At 49.5% G+C, this 15404-nt stretch overlaps 1 annotated feature.

The window, feature by feature from the left end:
• Nucleotides 13125–13625: an enhancer, noted in NCBI's record as "H3K4me1 hESC enhancer chr11:1134566-1135066 (GRCh37/hg19 assembly coordinates)". NCBI's record gives its function as "activates a minimal SCP1, AML or CMV promoter by ChIP-STARR-seq in primed H9 embryonic stem cells {active_cell/tissue: H9 hESC(primed)}" and the evidence as "EXISTENCE:reporter gene assay evidence [ECO:0000049][PMID:30033119]".

The raw sequence follows: 15404 nt of genomic DNA on the forward strand, positions 1-15404 counted from the left end.
GCCCCCACCCTGCCCTCTTGTTGGCTTTTCTGGGAGGCCTGTGGGGGGCCTTTCCAGTGCCCTGGTGCCGCCCCTGAGCTCTGGGTCACTGCCCAGAGGCGTCTGAAGCAGACACCTGCCCCTGCCTCCCTGAGCCCACGCTACCCGCTCTGTATCCTATCTAGAACTTTCACGAGCCGACATTGTCCTGTGTGCCAGCTCACTGTCCCCACGGAACAGCCATGCCACGAGGGTGGGGTCCCTTTTGTTTGGGGGGCAGAGCTCAAGCTTTTGGATCTGCTTCAAGCCCAGAGCCACCCGTCAGCTGAAATACTGAAAGGAGGAAGGGGTGAGAGGAGGAAGGACTACGGGGTGGACAGGGCTCTCAGCAGGCACCCCTGCCCCACTTCACAGCAGCCCTGCGGCCGGGGACGGACTTTGGCAGGGCTGGTGGCAGCTGGGTCAATCTGGGCTTTTGGGAGGCTCTGGTTCTGTGGACCCTCTAGGGCTTGTCCCCCCGCCTGTGACCTGAGGTCTCCTGAGCTCTGCATCTCAGTCTGCTCTCGAGTTAAATGGGGACAGTATCACATGCTACAGAAGGCCTGTGGCAAAACGCTGTCTGTAGAGACCCCAGCACAGCTGCAGCTCAGAAACAGCCACCGTTGTGAAGAAGATGCGTAAGAGTCAGTTGATCATGACTACTAGCCTTTCCTTGAAGCCTGTGTGTACAGGTAAAACTGCTGTGTAGCACACACACACACACACACACACACACACACACACACACACCCACGAAAAGCACGCAGCCAACTGAGCCCAGGTCTGACGCTGTCTGTCCTGACTCTAGGACACACCCGGGTTCCTGACATTCACAGTGAACCTGTGAGCTCTGGAGCCAACGAGAGACGTTATTGGCCAACGCACTGCCCTGGGGCCGGGTCGCTGGGGGGACCCAGGTAGGAGGCAGGGCTGGGGGAGCAGAAAGGCAGGGATGGGGATGGACGTGGCTGATGCTGTGACCTCAGCCAGGACAGTCCCCGAGTGGAGGAGGAGGCTGGGCCCCCCTAAGGCCGCTCTTCCCCAGCCTCCTGCCCCCCGGCCCAGGTCTTATCACCCTCACCCAGCCCCGGCCTCCCCTCTCGACCCCCAATCTGTTCCCACCTCCGTTGGAGGAGGCTCCTGAGGTGGGTGCCCCTCTAGCCTGCCTGCCCCTGTCCAGGCCCTGAGGGCTCCAGAGGGGGGCCGAGGCCTGGGGGTCCCGACCTCCATGTGCCTCCCGTGTCCCCCGCTGCAGCCCCACACGCACCCCACTGTCCAGCCACACAGGCCGTCTGAGGCTGGGGGCCCAGAGGCAGACTGCCCCAGATATGTGGGCAGGGGTCAGCGGGGCTCTCAGGACACCAGCTGGGGGTGAGGGGAGCATGGAGGGAGCGTGGGACAGGCTGAGCTGCCGAGGGAGCCACCCTGGAGCTCTGGAGCCGGGAGGCCTTGGGAGACATCCCAGGCTGGGTTCTGTCCCCCGATGTGGCAGGCGTTGCACGCAGGCTCGCTGTGGCCTTGGGCGAGGTGGCTTTCTGGGGAGGGCAGTTCCCAGGGAAGGAGGGCCGAGCCCTCGGCAGCCAACACTCGGGTGGCTTGGGACGAAGGCCTCGGTCCTGGTGGGGCCTGGGCGACGCCCCCAGTGCCCACCACGCAGGCCTATGGTTGGTCACGGAGGTGGCCTTCTCCTCCTACCCACTGTCTCTACCTCAGCTTCCAGCAGGTGCCCAGTGCTCACGCCGGCCTCGAGCCTGGACTGGGGGCTGCACCTGCCCCAACACTCTCAATGTGTGGCTGGGGAGTCTGAGGCCCAGAGGCACCCAGCCCATCCCCCCACAGAGCAGGCCTCAGACCTGCTGCCCTGCTGTCTGGCCGAGAGCACCACCCGGGGTGGAGCGGCCGGTGAGCTGAGCCCGGGTCATAAGCCAGGCAGGGGAGCAGGCTTCCTGGGATCCGCCGACCCCGTCCAGCTGCTGCAGGGCCCCATGCCTGCCACAGGATGCCCCTGAGCCTGGGGCATGGCTGTTGCCCTGCAGGGGAGGCCATCTACTGGTGCAGCTGTCCTGCAGCTGGACATGGCTTTGAGATGACCTCTGCAGGGTGGGGTGCAGGGAAAGGCCATCGAAACCTGAGACCCAACACAGGGGAAGGTGGGGAAGGCTGCGGGGCCCAGCTGCACAGCGGGCTGGGACGCAGAGCCAGCCTCCCACCCTGGGCCTGTCCCCTGATCTCCGCCCAGTGTGGACTCCTTTTGGGCACAGCTGAGACCAACCCAGCAGATAAGCGGATTAGCATGGTGCATGCCCCCAGGGTGCACAACTGGCTTTATCAGGGCCCGGATGTTGTCTCAGGTGGAGCTGGGCAGGCTTAGGTGAGGTGGGTGTTCCCAGGTCAGATACGCTCTGCCCAGCTCTCACCCCTCAGCCGGCGCAGGGCCAGGGGCCTGGATCAGGGGTTCGCTCCAGCTGCCTGCTATCTGGCTGCCCGTGGCGGGCTCGGGGCAAGGGTGTGCAGGAGAGCCGGGTCTTGGTGGCTTTGTGCTCCTACCCTGGGTTTCAAAGGCGCTGCCTCCCTTGTTCCTTGTTCATTCACAAAATCCGTGAGCGCCCCAGCATGTGGGACACAGATGAAGGGGCCGGGGGAGGGTTGCCACTGGGCCAGGGCACCGGGAGTGTCCCCACGTGCCATTCGGCCGAGTCCTTGGCAGGGGGAAGCCCTGCTCAGAAACGGAGAAACTGAGTCTTGGGACATTTGCTGTCTCGCTCACTGTCAGAGCCCCCTCCATCCCAAGACAGGCCTGGGCACCTGACAACCGTGCAGGACCGTGACATAAAATATGCCAGGAAATCGGGTGGAGGAAACTCAGACGTGAGGGAATCAGGCTGGCAGAGCCGGGTGGGGAGAGGGTGCTGGCACAGGCAGGGACGCTCTAGGTGCTGGTTTTAGGGGCAGGGCTGCCTGGGAAGCCACCTGAGATGAGAGGGAGAGAGGCCAGGGGGACTTGAAGAAGCCCAGGGTGCTGGGAGAACCTGGGGGCCAAGCAGAGGAGGTGCCTGGGGGCCAGGCCAGGTGGGCACAGACCCACAGCTACCCGGGCCCTCCTCATCTGCCCCACCCCAGAGCCCACCTGCATCCGCCACAGCTGGCCTGGCTTTCTGCCCGACACCTGCCAGGTCAGGGGGCCCCTGCTGGAAGCCACACCCCACTCTGCCCACCTCCCACCTCCTCACTCCCCCTGCCTGAGCTCCTGCCAGCCCTCACGGCGCCCTCCTAACCTCCACTCATCAGAGCCCTGCCCTGTGCCCCAGACTCGGCTGGAGGCACCCCCAGGAAGCCCCTGTGGGAAGCAAGTCCTGGTGTCGGTCCTCACCCCACCCCTCAGGGAGCCACAGGCCCAGCTCCTGGGTGTGTCCCTCTGGGTGGGGGCCTGGGGTCACAGGCTGGCCTGGAGCCATGGAGACAGGGGAGCTGCCTGGCTGTGGGGGAAAGGCAAACACCCTTTTGTCTGTGGCCGCCTCTTCTGCTCGGGGAACTCTGGGGACAAAGCCGGTGGGCCAAGGAGCCCCCGCTGTCTAGACAGCCCTGCCCCACGAGGCAGGCAGGGGAGGGGGCGCCCTGAGCAAACAAGCAGGTACCAGGCGTCCTGAGACTGCGGGGCCAGGCCAGGGTGGGCGAGCGACGAGGCCCGCGGGAGTGGGAGGGGGCGCGGGATGCTGTCCTTAGGGACCCTGGGCCCCAGCCGGGGTTTCTCCCTGGTCTCTCTCCTTCCTTTCTGCTGGCCACCACCTCCAGGAAGCCAGCTGGACCTGACCCTGCCTCCTGAGGGCTCTAGGAACCCACCTCCCAGGTCCAGCCATGCACCAGCCTGTCCTCGTGACCCTCACTGGCCTCAGGGATCCCCCAGTAAGGGGGCAGCGGTGGGGACTCACCTGTGGGGCTTGAGTGAGCCATGCCCAAGACAAGAGGCAGAGCCAGGAGGTGCAGGTGACGCTATGGTCCCCAGCTGCGTGGCGGCTCTCTCCAGGTGTGTGGGCCTCCTGGTCCCTTCGTGGTGTCTGGTGTCACCATGCACAGCTCAGACCCCTGCTGCAGTCCCCAGGGATCCACAGCCGCACCTGCCCTTTCCTCTTGCTTCTCACTGCGCCCCAGCCCCCTGGCGGCTGCTCACCAGCCTTCATGTCCTCACTGACGCCTGCCCTGCACCGGGACCACCCTGTGTTCCCCAGCTGTGCCCAGACCTGATGGAAATTCTCAGCAGCCCAGGCCAGACCCACCTTCCCGCTCTCCTGCCAGCTCTGAACGTTGGGCCCCTGGCACTGTTATTCACATCTTACTCCATCAGTTCCCAGCCCAGCCCCAGCCCCTGCCCCTTCAGATGCAAACCCTGTGAGGGCCAGAGCCTCCCTGGTGTCCTCACCTTCCCACCCATACACTCAGCTCTCCATTTATTCAGGATTAATTCAGCTGTTTGGGGAATAAAGATGTGAAAAAGTTACCATCTTTAACAATCCCCTTGACTGACTTCAGAATAGTGTTCCCTTTCATCCCCTCTGTCCACCTGGGAATGCTTCTGATGCTGCCTGCATTATCAGGAGGGGAAGAGGCCCAGCCAGTCTGCAGTGAACATGCCGTGAAAGCCTGGACTCAACATTTGCTATTTGAAGTTACAGACAGACTTTTAAGTACCTGACTGGATATACCATGTGAACATGCCGTGAAAGCCTGGACTCAACATTTGCTATTTGAAGTTACAGACAGACTTTTAAGTACCTGACTGTATATACCATCCAACCTGGGACCCGGGGATGGGAGAGCCCACGCCCCTGACTGGAGAGTTCCAGAGGCCTGGAAAGAACACCCACAGTAGAAAACCCGCGGAAGAGGGGCCTAGCAAAAGATTCATTAGGTATTATTATTATTATTTTGAGATGGAGTCTCGCTCTGTTGCCCAGGCTGGAGTGCAGTGGCTTGATCTCAGCTCACTGCAAGCTCTACCTCCCGAGTTCACGCCATTCGCCTGCCTCAGCCTCCTGAGTAGCTGGGACTACAGGCGCCTGCCACCACACCTGGCTATTTTTTGTATTTTCTTATAGAGATAGGATTTTGCTATGTTGCCGAGGCTGGTCTCAAACTCCTGGCCTTAAGGGATCTGCCCACCTTGGCCTCCCAAAGTGCTGGGATTACAGGCATGAGCCACCATGCCTGGCCTTCATTAGATATTATTATTATTATTTTTTTAAAAAGTTTCTCCTGAAAGGCAGAGAGAACACATAGTTTTATTTAAAAAATACATTAGAAACAAGTATATTTAGAAAATATATGCTTTTATTATTTATGAATTTAAAAAAACGACTCAATGAAACAAAAAGTGAAAGACGAATAAAAAAGGTAACAGACTGAGAGGAGAGAATCAGCCTGAGGCAGAGATGAGGGGGAACTAGATAATGTAAAGAAACCACGATGGGAGAGTTAATATCTGTACTCAAAACAGTAAAACGGCAAGTAACAAAAAACACCATGTAAAATTGAGTAAGTAATGTGGAAGACAATTAAAGTTCTTTGAGAATAGGAGGGAAAGAACAGAGAGATTAAACTGGTGTGAAAGGCTCCTTCAGTGTTTGGGGACTAGCTCATATCAGAATAACATGCTTGCCCTTCATAATCATAAACTCAAGATGAAATAGAAATGACACCTGTTTTGAAGACTGGTGAGTGGCTGGGCATGGTGGCTCATTCATGTAATCCCAGCACTTTGGGAGGCTGAGGCAGGTGGATCACCTGAGGTCAGGAGTTCGAGACCAGCCTGGCCAACATGGTGAAACCCCATCTGTACTAAAAATACAAAAATTAGCTGGGTGTGGTGGCGCACACCTGTAGTCCCAGCTACTAGGGAGGCTGAGGCACCAGAGTCACATGAACCCAGGAGGCAGAGGTTGCAGTGAGCTGAGATCGCACCACTGCACTCCAATCTGGACAACAGAGTGAGCCTCAGTCACACATACATACACACACACACACACACACACACAACCCAAAACAACAAAAAACCACTGGTGAGAAATCAGAGGCAGGCAGCATCAGAGGGGATGCAAGCCTGGAAAAGGGAAATAAGTGAGGTACGATCCCCATTCAGCTGACTTTCCACTGGAGGGAGCTTCCCTGTTTACAGGAATGTGAGGGAGAGGGTGCCAGCTGACTACAGCTCCTGAGCTGGGCTGAGAAGACTGAGGTCCAAGCTTAAGGTCTCCAGAGGCTGGAAATTAGGAAGGATGTTACAGGAAGAATAGATCCACAAATTTTTGACTGAGTTAAAAGTCACATATAGGATGAGACCTTAAACATCTGAGTGAAAGGAAACAGCTGGAAGGCTGAAAGATAGGGGCATGGGGTCACAGAGTTTGGAGTTCGAGTTGGCCCAGCTAGACCTCCTGGAGAAACACCTTGCTTCCCATTACGACTCTGTAAGAACTGTATGTTAGGAGCAAGGACCATCTGCTAGGACTAAATGCTGTGCCCCAGGAACAAGGGCTAAACTGAAAGAGACCCAGATAATAAAGCCTGAGAAGAATCCTCCTCAGGATCAAGTTGATCCACCAAAAATTTAACCACCTGCTAAACAAAACTTAGCATTCTCCTTCGGAAGATCACAGAATCTAAAGTCTCCACAGTGTATCATACACAATGCACAGTGTACAATAAAAATTACCACAGAGGACAATATAGCCCACAATCAAAGGAACAAACCAACCATCAGAAGCATATCCACAGAGGCCCATATGTTGAAATTAGGAGATAAGTATTTTAAATTAACCATTATAAAAATGTGACATAACATACATTGGAAAATGAATATAATGGAAAAGAGGTGGGGAATGTCAGGAGAGAGATGGAAACTCTAAAACAGAACCAAATGAAAATCTTGAAACTGAAAACAAACAACACAACCAAATATCTGAAATGAAATAGTCATTGAATTGGTTTAACAGAAGCTGGGAAACTACAGAGGAAAAGATCAAGAAACTTGAAGAGAGGTTGATAGAAACAATCCACACTGAAGAACAGACAAAACAGTTTTTTGAAAAAGTCTCAGTGACTGGTGGGATGATATTAAGTTGTCTGAGGAAGGAGAAGAAAGAGAAAAGGGGGTAAAAAATATTAAAGAAAAAATAGCCAAATGTTTTAAAATTTGACTAAAAACATCAACTCTGAATTCCAAGAAGCAAATCTTCAGTGCAATAAATATGAAGAAAACTACACTTACGCATGTAATAGTCAAACTACTGAAAAGAAAAGGTAAAAGAAAATCTTTAAAGCATCCAGGAAGAAAAAGACATAGCACACAGAGGGAATAAATGATAAAATGGTAGCTATAAATGCAGTCATATCAAAATTTAAATTAATGTAAGTGGACTATACACTCCAATTAAAAGACAGACTTTTAGACTGAATCAATGAGCAAGACCCAAAGATATGCTGCTTACAAGAGACATGTTGTGACTATAGACACAGATAAGGTTAAAAGTGAAAGGATGGAAAAATGTATGTCATGCAAGCAGTAATGATAATAAAGCTAGAGTGGTTACATCAATATCAGACAAAGTAGATGTCAAGACAAGGAATATTACCGAGATAAAAGGACATTTTATAATTATAGAAATGACAATTCATTGAGAAAGCACAATATTACTGTGTATACATCTAATAACAAAGCTTCAAAGTATACAAAGCAAAAATAGACAAAACTTAAGGGTGAAACAGGCACAGATTTTAACATCATTTTCTTGATCATTGATAAAGCAAATAAACACTCAGGAAGGCTGTTAGAAGTTCTGAAACCACTATCAACCAACTTGAGCTAATTGACATTTATGGAACCCTAGTCAATGACTGTAGAATACACCATTCTTCAAAAGACCACATGGATTGCTCACCGAAATGGAACAGTGCTGGGCTATAAAACAAGTCTCAATAAACTTCTAAGGATTGAAATAATCAACATATGTTCTCTCACTAAAATACAAATTAGTTAAAAGCAGTAATGATAAGATATTAAGAAAAACCTCAAATATTTAAAAATCAAGAAGCACAATGCATTCCAAACAACCTATGGGTCAAAAAAGTCACATAAGAATTACAACCAACTTCTCATAGAAACAAAGGTGGCCAGAAGATGCCAGAAAGACATCTTTATAGTGTTGAAAGAAAAAAAAAAAAGCCTGTCAGTCAACACTAAAATTTAGGTCTACAGGAAGGAATGAGGAGCACTAGAAATAACAAATATGAGGGTAAGTACAAGTAAAATGTTCTTTTTTAAAAACTTTCTTTAAGGGACTGTTTAAAGCAAAAAATTAATTGTGGAAGTTTATAACACATGGAGTAATTAAAAACATCACACCAAATAGCACCAACAATGGAGAAAAAATGAAATTAGACTGTTCAAAGGTTCATATATATACATATATATACACATATATATACATATATACATATATACACATATATACATATATACACATATACACATATATACATATATACATATATACACATATATACATATATACATATATACACATATATATACATATATACATATATATATACACATATATATATACATATATATATACATATATAATTTTTTTTTTTTTGAGACAGTCTCACTTACTCTGTCACCCAGGCTGGAGTGCAGTGGTGCGATCTTGGCTCACTGCAACCTCCACCTCCTGGGTTCCAGCAATTCTCCTGCCTCAGCCTCCCAAGTAGCTGGGAGTACAGATCTGTGCCACCACGCCTGGCTAATTTTTATATTTTTAGTAGAGATGGGGTTTCACCATGTTGGCCAGGCTGGTCTCGAACTCCTGAACTCAAGTGATCCACATGCCTTGGCCTCCCAAAGTGCTGAGATTACAGGTGTGAGACACTGCACCCGGCCAGGTTCTTACATTTTACGTGATGTGATATAATATTAATTCAAGATAGACTGATAAGGATGCATACTATAACTTTCAGAGAAACTACTAAAAATATAATGATATCTAGATAAAAAGCAAATAGAAGTATTAAAACTGAATATTGAAAATACTTAACTGACCATACTAAGTGTTGGCAAGAATGTGGCACAGCCGGAGCTCTCAGACAGTGCAGACAAGACATAATGTGGTACAATCACTTTGGAAGGCTGCTTGAAAGTTTCTTATGAAATTAAACACATGCTTAGCATAGGACTCAGCAATTCTACTCCTAGACATTTACTCAAAAGAAATGAAAACGTGTGCTTACAAAAAGACTCGCACAAAAATGTTCCTGGCAGCATTATTCGTAACTGTAAAAGACTGGGAAAGGCTCAGGTATTCCTCAAGAGGTGTATGGAATAAATACATTGTGGTATAGCCATATGATGGAATACTATCCAGCAATAACAAGAAACAGTGAAAACACACCACAACATGGGTAAATCTCAAAAACATGATGTGTGAAAAAGGCCAGACACAGAAGAGTTAATATTTTATGACTCCATTTGTCTGAAGTTCCATAATAGACCAAACTAATGTACAGTGACAAGACTCAGACCCATAGTTGCCTGGGTCAGGAATAAGAGTGGGGCCAGGCATGGTGGCTCAGGCCTGTAATCCCAGCACTTTGGGAGGCCAAGGTGGGCAGATCACCTGAGGTCAGGAGTTTGAGACCAGCCTGGCCAACATGGCAAAACCCCATCTCTACTAAAAATACACAAAAAAGTAGCCAGGTGTGGTCGTGGGCACCTCTAGTCCCAGCTACTCAGGAGGCTGAGCCAGGAGAATCACTTGAACCCAAGAGGTGGAGGTTGCAGTGAGCCAAGATGATGCCACTGCACTCCAGCCTGAGCGACAGAGCGAGACTCCATCTTAAAAAACAAAACAAACAAAAAAGAGTAGGGTTGACTGGAAAGGGGCATGAAACTCTTTGGGTGATGGGAACATTTTCTGGCTTGATCGCGGTCATGGTTCCATGGGTGTATACGTTTGCCAACACTCATTGAATACCATCATCCCTTGGCATCTGTTGGGGATTGGTTCCAGGACCTCCTGGAATACCTAGACAGTATTTGCATAAAAACTGTGCACACCGTCCTGTGTACAGTTGGCCCTTGAACAACATGGGGGCCAAGAGTGCCAGCCCCTCATGCAGGTGAAAATCCAAGTATAACTTTTGATTTCCCCCAAACTTAACTACTAATAGCCTCCTGTTGGCTGGAAACCTTACTAACAACATAAACAGTTGGTTAACACATATTTTGTCTGTTATATGTATCATAGACTGTATTCTTATAATAAAGTAAGCTAGAGGAAAGAAAATGTTATTATGAAAATCATAAGGAAGAGAAAATATATTGACTATGTATAAAGTGGAAGTGGGTCATCCCAAACGTCTTCATCCTGGTTGTCTTCTTGTTGAGTAGGCTGAGGAGGAGGAGAAGGAGGAGGAGGGGTTGGTTTCAAAGGTGGCAGAGGTGGAAGAGATGGAGGAGGTGGAAGGGGAGTCGGGAGAGGCAGGCACACTTGGTGCAACTTTCGTGGAAAAAACTCCATGCATAAGAGGACACACACAGTTACAACCCCTGTCATTCAAGGGTTGACTGCACTGTAAGTCATCGCTGGATTACTCATAACACCAAAGACAACACCCACACACCCCTTCATTCCCGTGGATTCAGCGTGGAGCTCGGCTGTGTGACCTCAACGTGTGACCTCAGTGGCAGATTCAGGTTTTGCTTTTTTGGAACATTGTGACTTTTTTTTTCCTGAATATTTTTGATCAGCCGTTGGTTGAGTCAACAGATGCAGAAGCCACAGACATGCATGGCTGGCTGTATTAACTTAAAATGAATTCATCTTAAGCCAGGCATGGCTTATGCCTGTAATCCCAGCACTTCGGGATAATAAGTGCTGGGATTACAGCACTTATTATAAGCCAGGCTCATGCCTGTAATCCCAGCACTTCGGGAGGCTGAGATGGGTGGATCACTTGAGGTCACGAGTTCAAGACCAGCCTGGTGACCATGGCGAAACCCCGTTTCCAATAAAAATACAAAAATTAGCCAGGCGTGGTGGCGCGTGCCTGTAGTCCCAGCTACTCAGGAGGCTGAGGCAGGAGAATCACTTGAACCTGGGAGGCAGAGGTTGCAGTGAGCTGAGATTATGCCACTGCATTCCAGCCTCATGACAGAGCGAGACTCCATCTCAAAAAAAAAAAAAAAAAGAGTTGATTTTATTATGGGTAAATTATATCTCAACAAATTTTATTTCAAAAGAAAACAAGAATATCGATTCACTGAAAGGAAAGCAGGCAAAGAAGATCGAAGGAACAAAGAATGCATGGGTTACACATAAAGCAAAGTGCAAGACGGTGGGCTGAACTTGCCCTACCTGTAAAACAGCAATATTGAAGCGATGATAAAATAAAACATGTCTGAGTCAAAGCAAGACTTCATTTATTCGGCTAGTTGAGAGTCTCTCACGTGTCATTCATCAAGGTGCACAAAACCAGACAAGATCCTTCTTGTCAGTGGGATAAGAGTTTAGTGGGATCATAATATTTCAGTTGTATAATCTCATCAATCAATGGGTAACTGCAGAAGGGAACACATTTCTGTGGGGAAATTCAATACGGGGAGCTGAGCGGGGTGTAGGCAGGGGAGATGGCCTTGCACGGGGTGGCTGGGGGAGGCGGGGGGTGGCTGGGGGAGGGAGGGGGTAGCTGGGGGAGGCGGGGGTGGTGGGAGGAGGCGGGGTGCTCAGACAGAAGCAGCTGCAGGGAAGCCCTGGGGTGGGGGAACAGGCCCTGGAAAACTGCTAAGGCAATCAATTAGAAAGAATATTTCCCATGCATTTTTCCTGCAAACAGAAAGGACTGGAAGACATACATCAGCCCATCAAGATACAATCTCAGCAAAAAACCACAAAAGCGGCAGACAAAACCAAACCTCAAGAAAGGCAAAGTTGTACATTCAGAAGGTCTGGAATGACTGGGTTTAGGGGTCATCCCGGCCATTTGCTGCAATGGCTGCCACAGATTGCAAAGAGCACAGTCAATTCTTGGAGGAGGACAAGGGGAGGTGTCATGTTTACAATCCAGAGTGCACAGCCCAGAACTGAGACCTGGAAAGGAGGGGCCAGCAGGAGGAAGGGAAGGGGTAGTGACGTCTCTTCCACACGCACAAGCAAATCAGGGTCACTCATAGAAACACAGATCCCAGGGTTAAAAGGATGACCTCTATAGTCATGAAAACAGAGTGAAGACCTGCAAGAGGAAACGGCAAAGGGAGCACAAACCCGGCTGCACAAGAACAGACCGGAGAAAGGTCAGGACTCTCAGGCCAGGGACTGAGGAGCCAGCGATAAGCCATGGCAGTAAAGGCTGACTGAATGCCCCTATGAAAAGGAGGCTGGAGATGGGGCTGAAAAGAAAAGAGCACGCCCACAGCCTCACTGCACGTTGTTTGAAAGAGACACAGCTAAAACGAATGCCCCAGCAAAGTTAAAATCGAAAGGCAACATGGCCGGGCACAGTGGCTCACGCCTGTAATTCCAGCACTTTGGGAGGCCAAGGTGGGTTTGAGGTCAGGAGTTTGCGACCAGCCCGGCCAACATGGTGAAACCCCGTCTCTACTAAAAATACAAGAATTAGCCGGGCGTGGTGGCGCGTGCCTATAATCCCAGCTACTCGGGCAGGAGAATTGCTTGAACCTGGGAGGTGGAGGTTGCAGTGAGCTGAGATTGCAGTGAGCTGAGTGCCACTGCACTCCAGCCTGGGTGACAAGAGCACAACTCCATCAACAACAACAACAACAAAAAGCAACAGGATATGAGACAAAAGCCAGCAGAGGCAGAGCTGTGGCCGTAGTATTAATAAATCGAAAGGCGGGGTTAAGATATGAACACCGAACACGACAAAGAGGATCAGTTTGAGTTTATAGAAGAAGCAGAAGAAACAATGGTGATTTATTTTGATTTTTACTCATTAAAAAACATAGTGCTGCTGCTCCCAGATGATGGCATAGCTCTTCTTTTCCCTGTCTTCCTCCTAAGTACAAAGAAGAATCCTGAATATTAGACATGAAAGAAATGTAGGAAGGCTCCGGAAGGTGGAGAGGAGAGGGCAGACCAGTCGGGGACCTCGGGCCCCAGGAAAGACCCATTGCAAGTTCCCTGGGTTTTGCTTTTGCCTCATGGATCCCAGGCCTGGAGCTGGAGAAGCTGGCAGTGTGGACACTTCAACACATGTACACCAAAAAAAGGCCCCACCAGTCCCCGCCTCCTGGAGCCAGCGTGATCAGGAAAGTAGCTGCCCGGCAAAGCAGAAGGCTTTTAGGTGATAACTGCCCTGCTCCAGCTGAACACCACGGAAAACCTGCACTCCACTGGAGCAAAGTCTGGGCAGGGCTGGGCAGGGCTGGGCACCCACCCTGGTGGCTGGAATGAGGCGCCCCAGGTGGCCCCAGGGCTGGTGTCCAAGTGGGCACAGCAGGAGGCTGGGGTCATCCCAGTGGGTGGTTCTGAACCGCTTTCTCTGTGACCAGTGATGGGGATGGTGGAGACCACACGGGGTTAGGGAGCTTGGATTTCCACCCCATCCCTGGTGTTGAAACACTCCTCCTCTTCCCCATGAGGAGTGTCAGAGGAGGCTGAGCCGAGAGTCATGACTTTGACCACTGCTCAGTGTAACAGGGCCCCCTCCATCATGCCCGTGGAGGGAATGAGAGCAGCAACGAGGCGCCATGCCCCTCCCAGCCAGAAGGCATCGGTGAGGGCTCCACCCTGCCCGGCAGGCATGGACAAAACCCCTGGGGTGTTAAGAGAGGGCCGGTGGGGAATGAGCACTTCCACACCACAAGCTGCCCCTTCCCTTCATTAATCTGTGCCAGAGGAAGTCAACGAGAAAGGTTTAAATAAGATCCAGAGTCTCGTAGCAATCTCCAAAATGCCCAGGTTTCAATAACAAATTGCTCATCATCCCAAGACCCAGGAAGATCTCAGACTGAATTCAAAAGGACAATCAGCAGAGGCTGACCCTGAGACAAAGAGGTGTTAGAATGATCTGGAAAGGGTTTTTGAGAAGCCCATAAAGTGCTTCATTTGTGAACAAATTGAAACCAATTTAAAAATAGAAAGTCTCAACAGATAATAGAAAATCCCAGCACAGAAACAGAACACACAAAGACGAACTGAATGGAAATGGTAGAACTGAAAATTACAATAATTGAAGAGATAAAAAACAAAAACAAGACTTCAATGAATGGGCTCAACACAGAGTAGAGGGAGAGTCCAGTGAGAGGAAGAAACAGTGAGCAGGGAGGTACAATAATAGACGTTATCAGACCCATCAGCGAAGAGAAAACAGACTGAACAGGATGAGAGAAACACACAGAGCCTCAGGAACCATAGGGCTAGAACAAGAGACCCAGCATTCCAGGTGTTGGGGTCATGGGAGGAGAGAAAGAGGATGGGGATGGAAAAGAGCTCAAAGACCTAAGGTTGAAAACTCCCCAAACTTGCCAAAACACCCACAGATTCAAGAAGCTCGATGAACCCCTAACAGGATAAACCCAAGAAAATCCACAGCAAAACATCTCGTAGTCAAACTTTTGAAAACTATAAAAACAAAAAATTTTGGAAGTAGCAGGAGAGAAACAACATTTTACATATAAGGGAAAGACAGTTTGAGTGGCATTTGATTCCTCATCAGAAACCCCAAAGGCCAAAAAGAGCACAACATTTTTCAAATGCTGACAGAAAGGAACTGTCAGCCCAGAATGCTATATTCAGTGAAAGTATCCCCGAAGAAGGAAGAGGAAGTTAAGGCATTTTCAGATGAAGGAAAAGTAAGAGAAATTTCCACCAGAAGATGTACCCTGAAAGCTTCAAAATAGTTGAACCAAATCTGATAAAACTGAAAGGAGAAATGCACCCATTTCTAATTATAGCTAGAGACATCAACACCCCTGTCTAAACAATTAATAGAACAACTAGGCAGAAAATCAACAAAGATGTGGAAAAACTTAACACCATCAACCAACAGGACCAACATTTGTAGAGCTCCACCCAACCACAGAACACACATTCTTTTCAAATGTGCACGGAACACATTCCAGGAGAGGCCGTGTCCTGGGCCTGAACACAAACTTTAGCACATTTCACATACTGACATCACACTCCAGCATGTTCTCTGACAACAATGACATCAAATTAGAAATGAACAACAGAAAGTTAACAGGAAAATCTCCAAACATTCAGAAACTAGAGAACAGACCTCCAAATAATCTGTGGGCCAATGAGGAAGTCTCAAGGGAAGTTTTAAAAAACAACAACATTGAACTCAATGAAAACGAAAATGCAACATATCAA

This window comes from Homo sapiens, chromosome 11, assembly GCF_000001405.40.
Source record: "Homo sapiens chromosome 11, GRCh38.p14 Primary Assembly".
In the NCBI taxonomy this organism is placed as follows: Eukaryota; Metazoa; Chordata; class Mammalia; order Primates; family Hominidae; genus Homo; species Homo sapiens.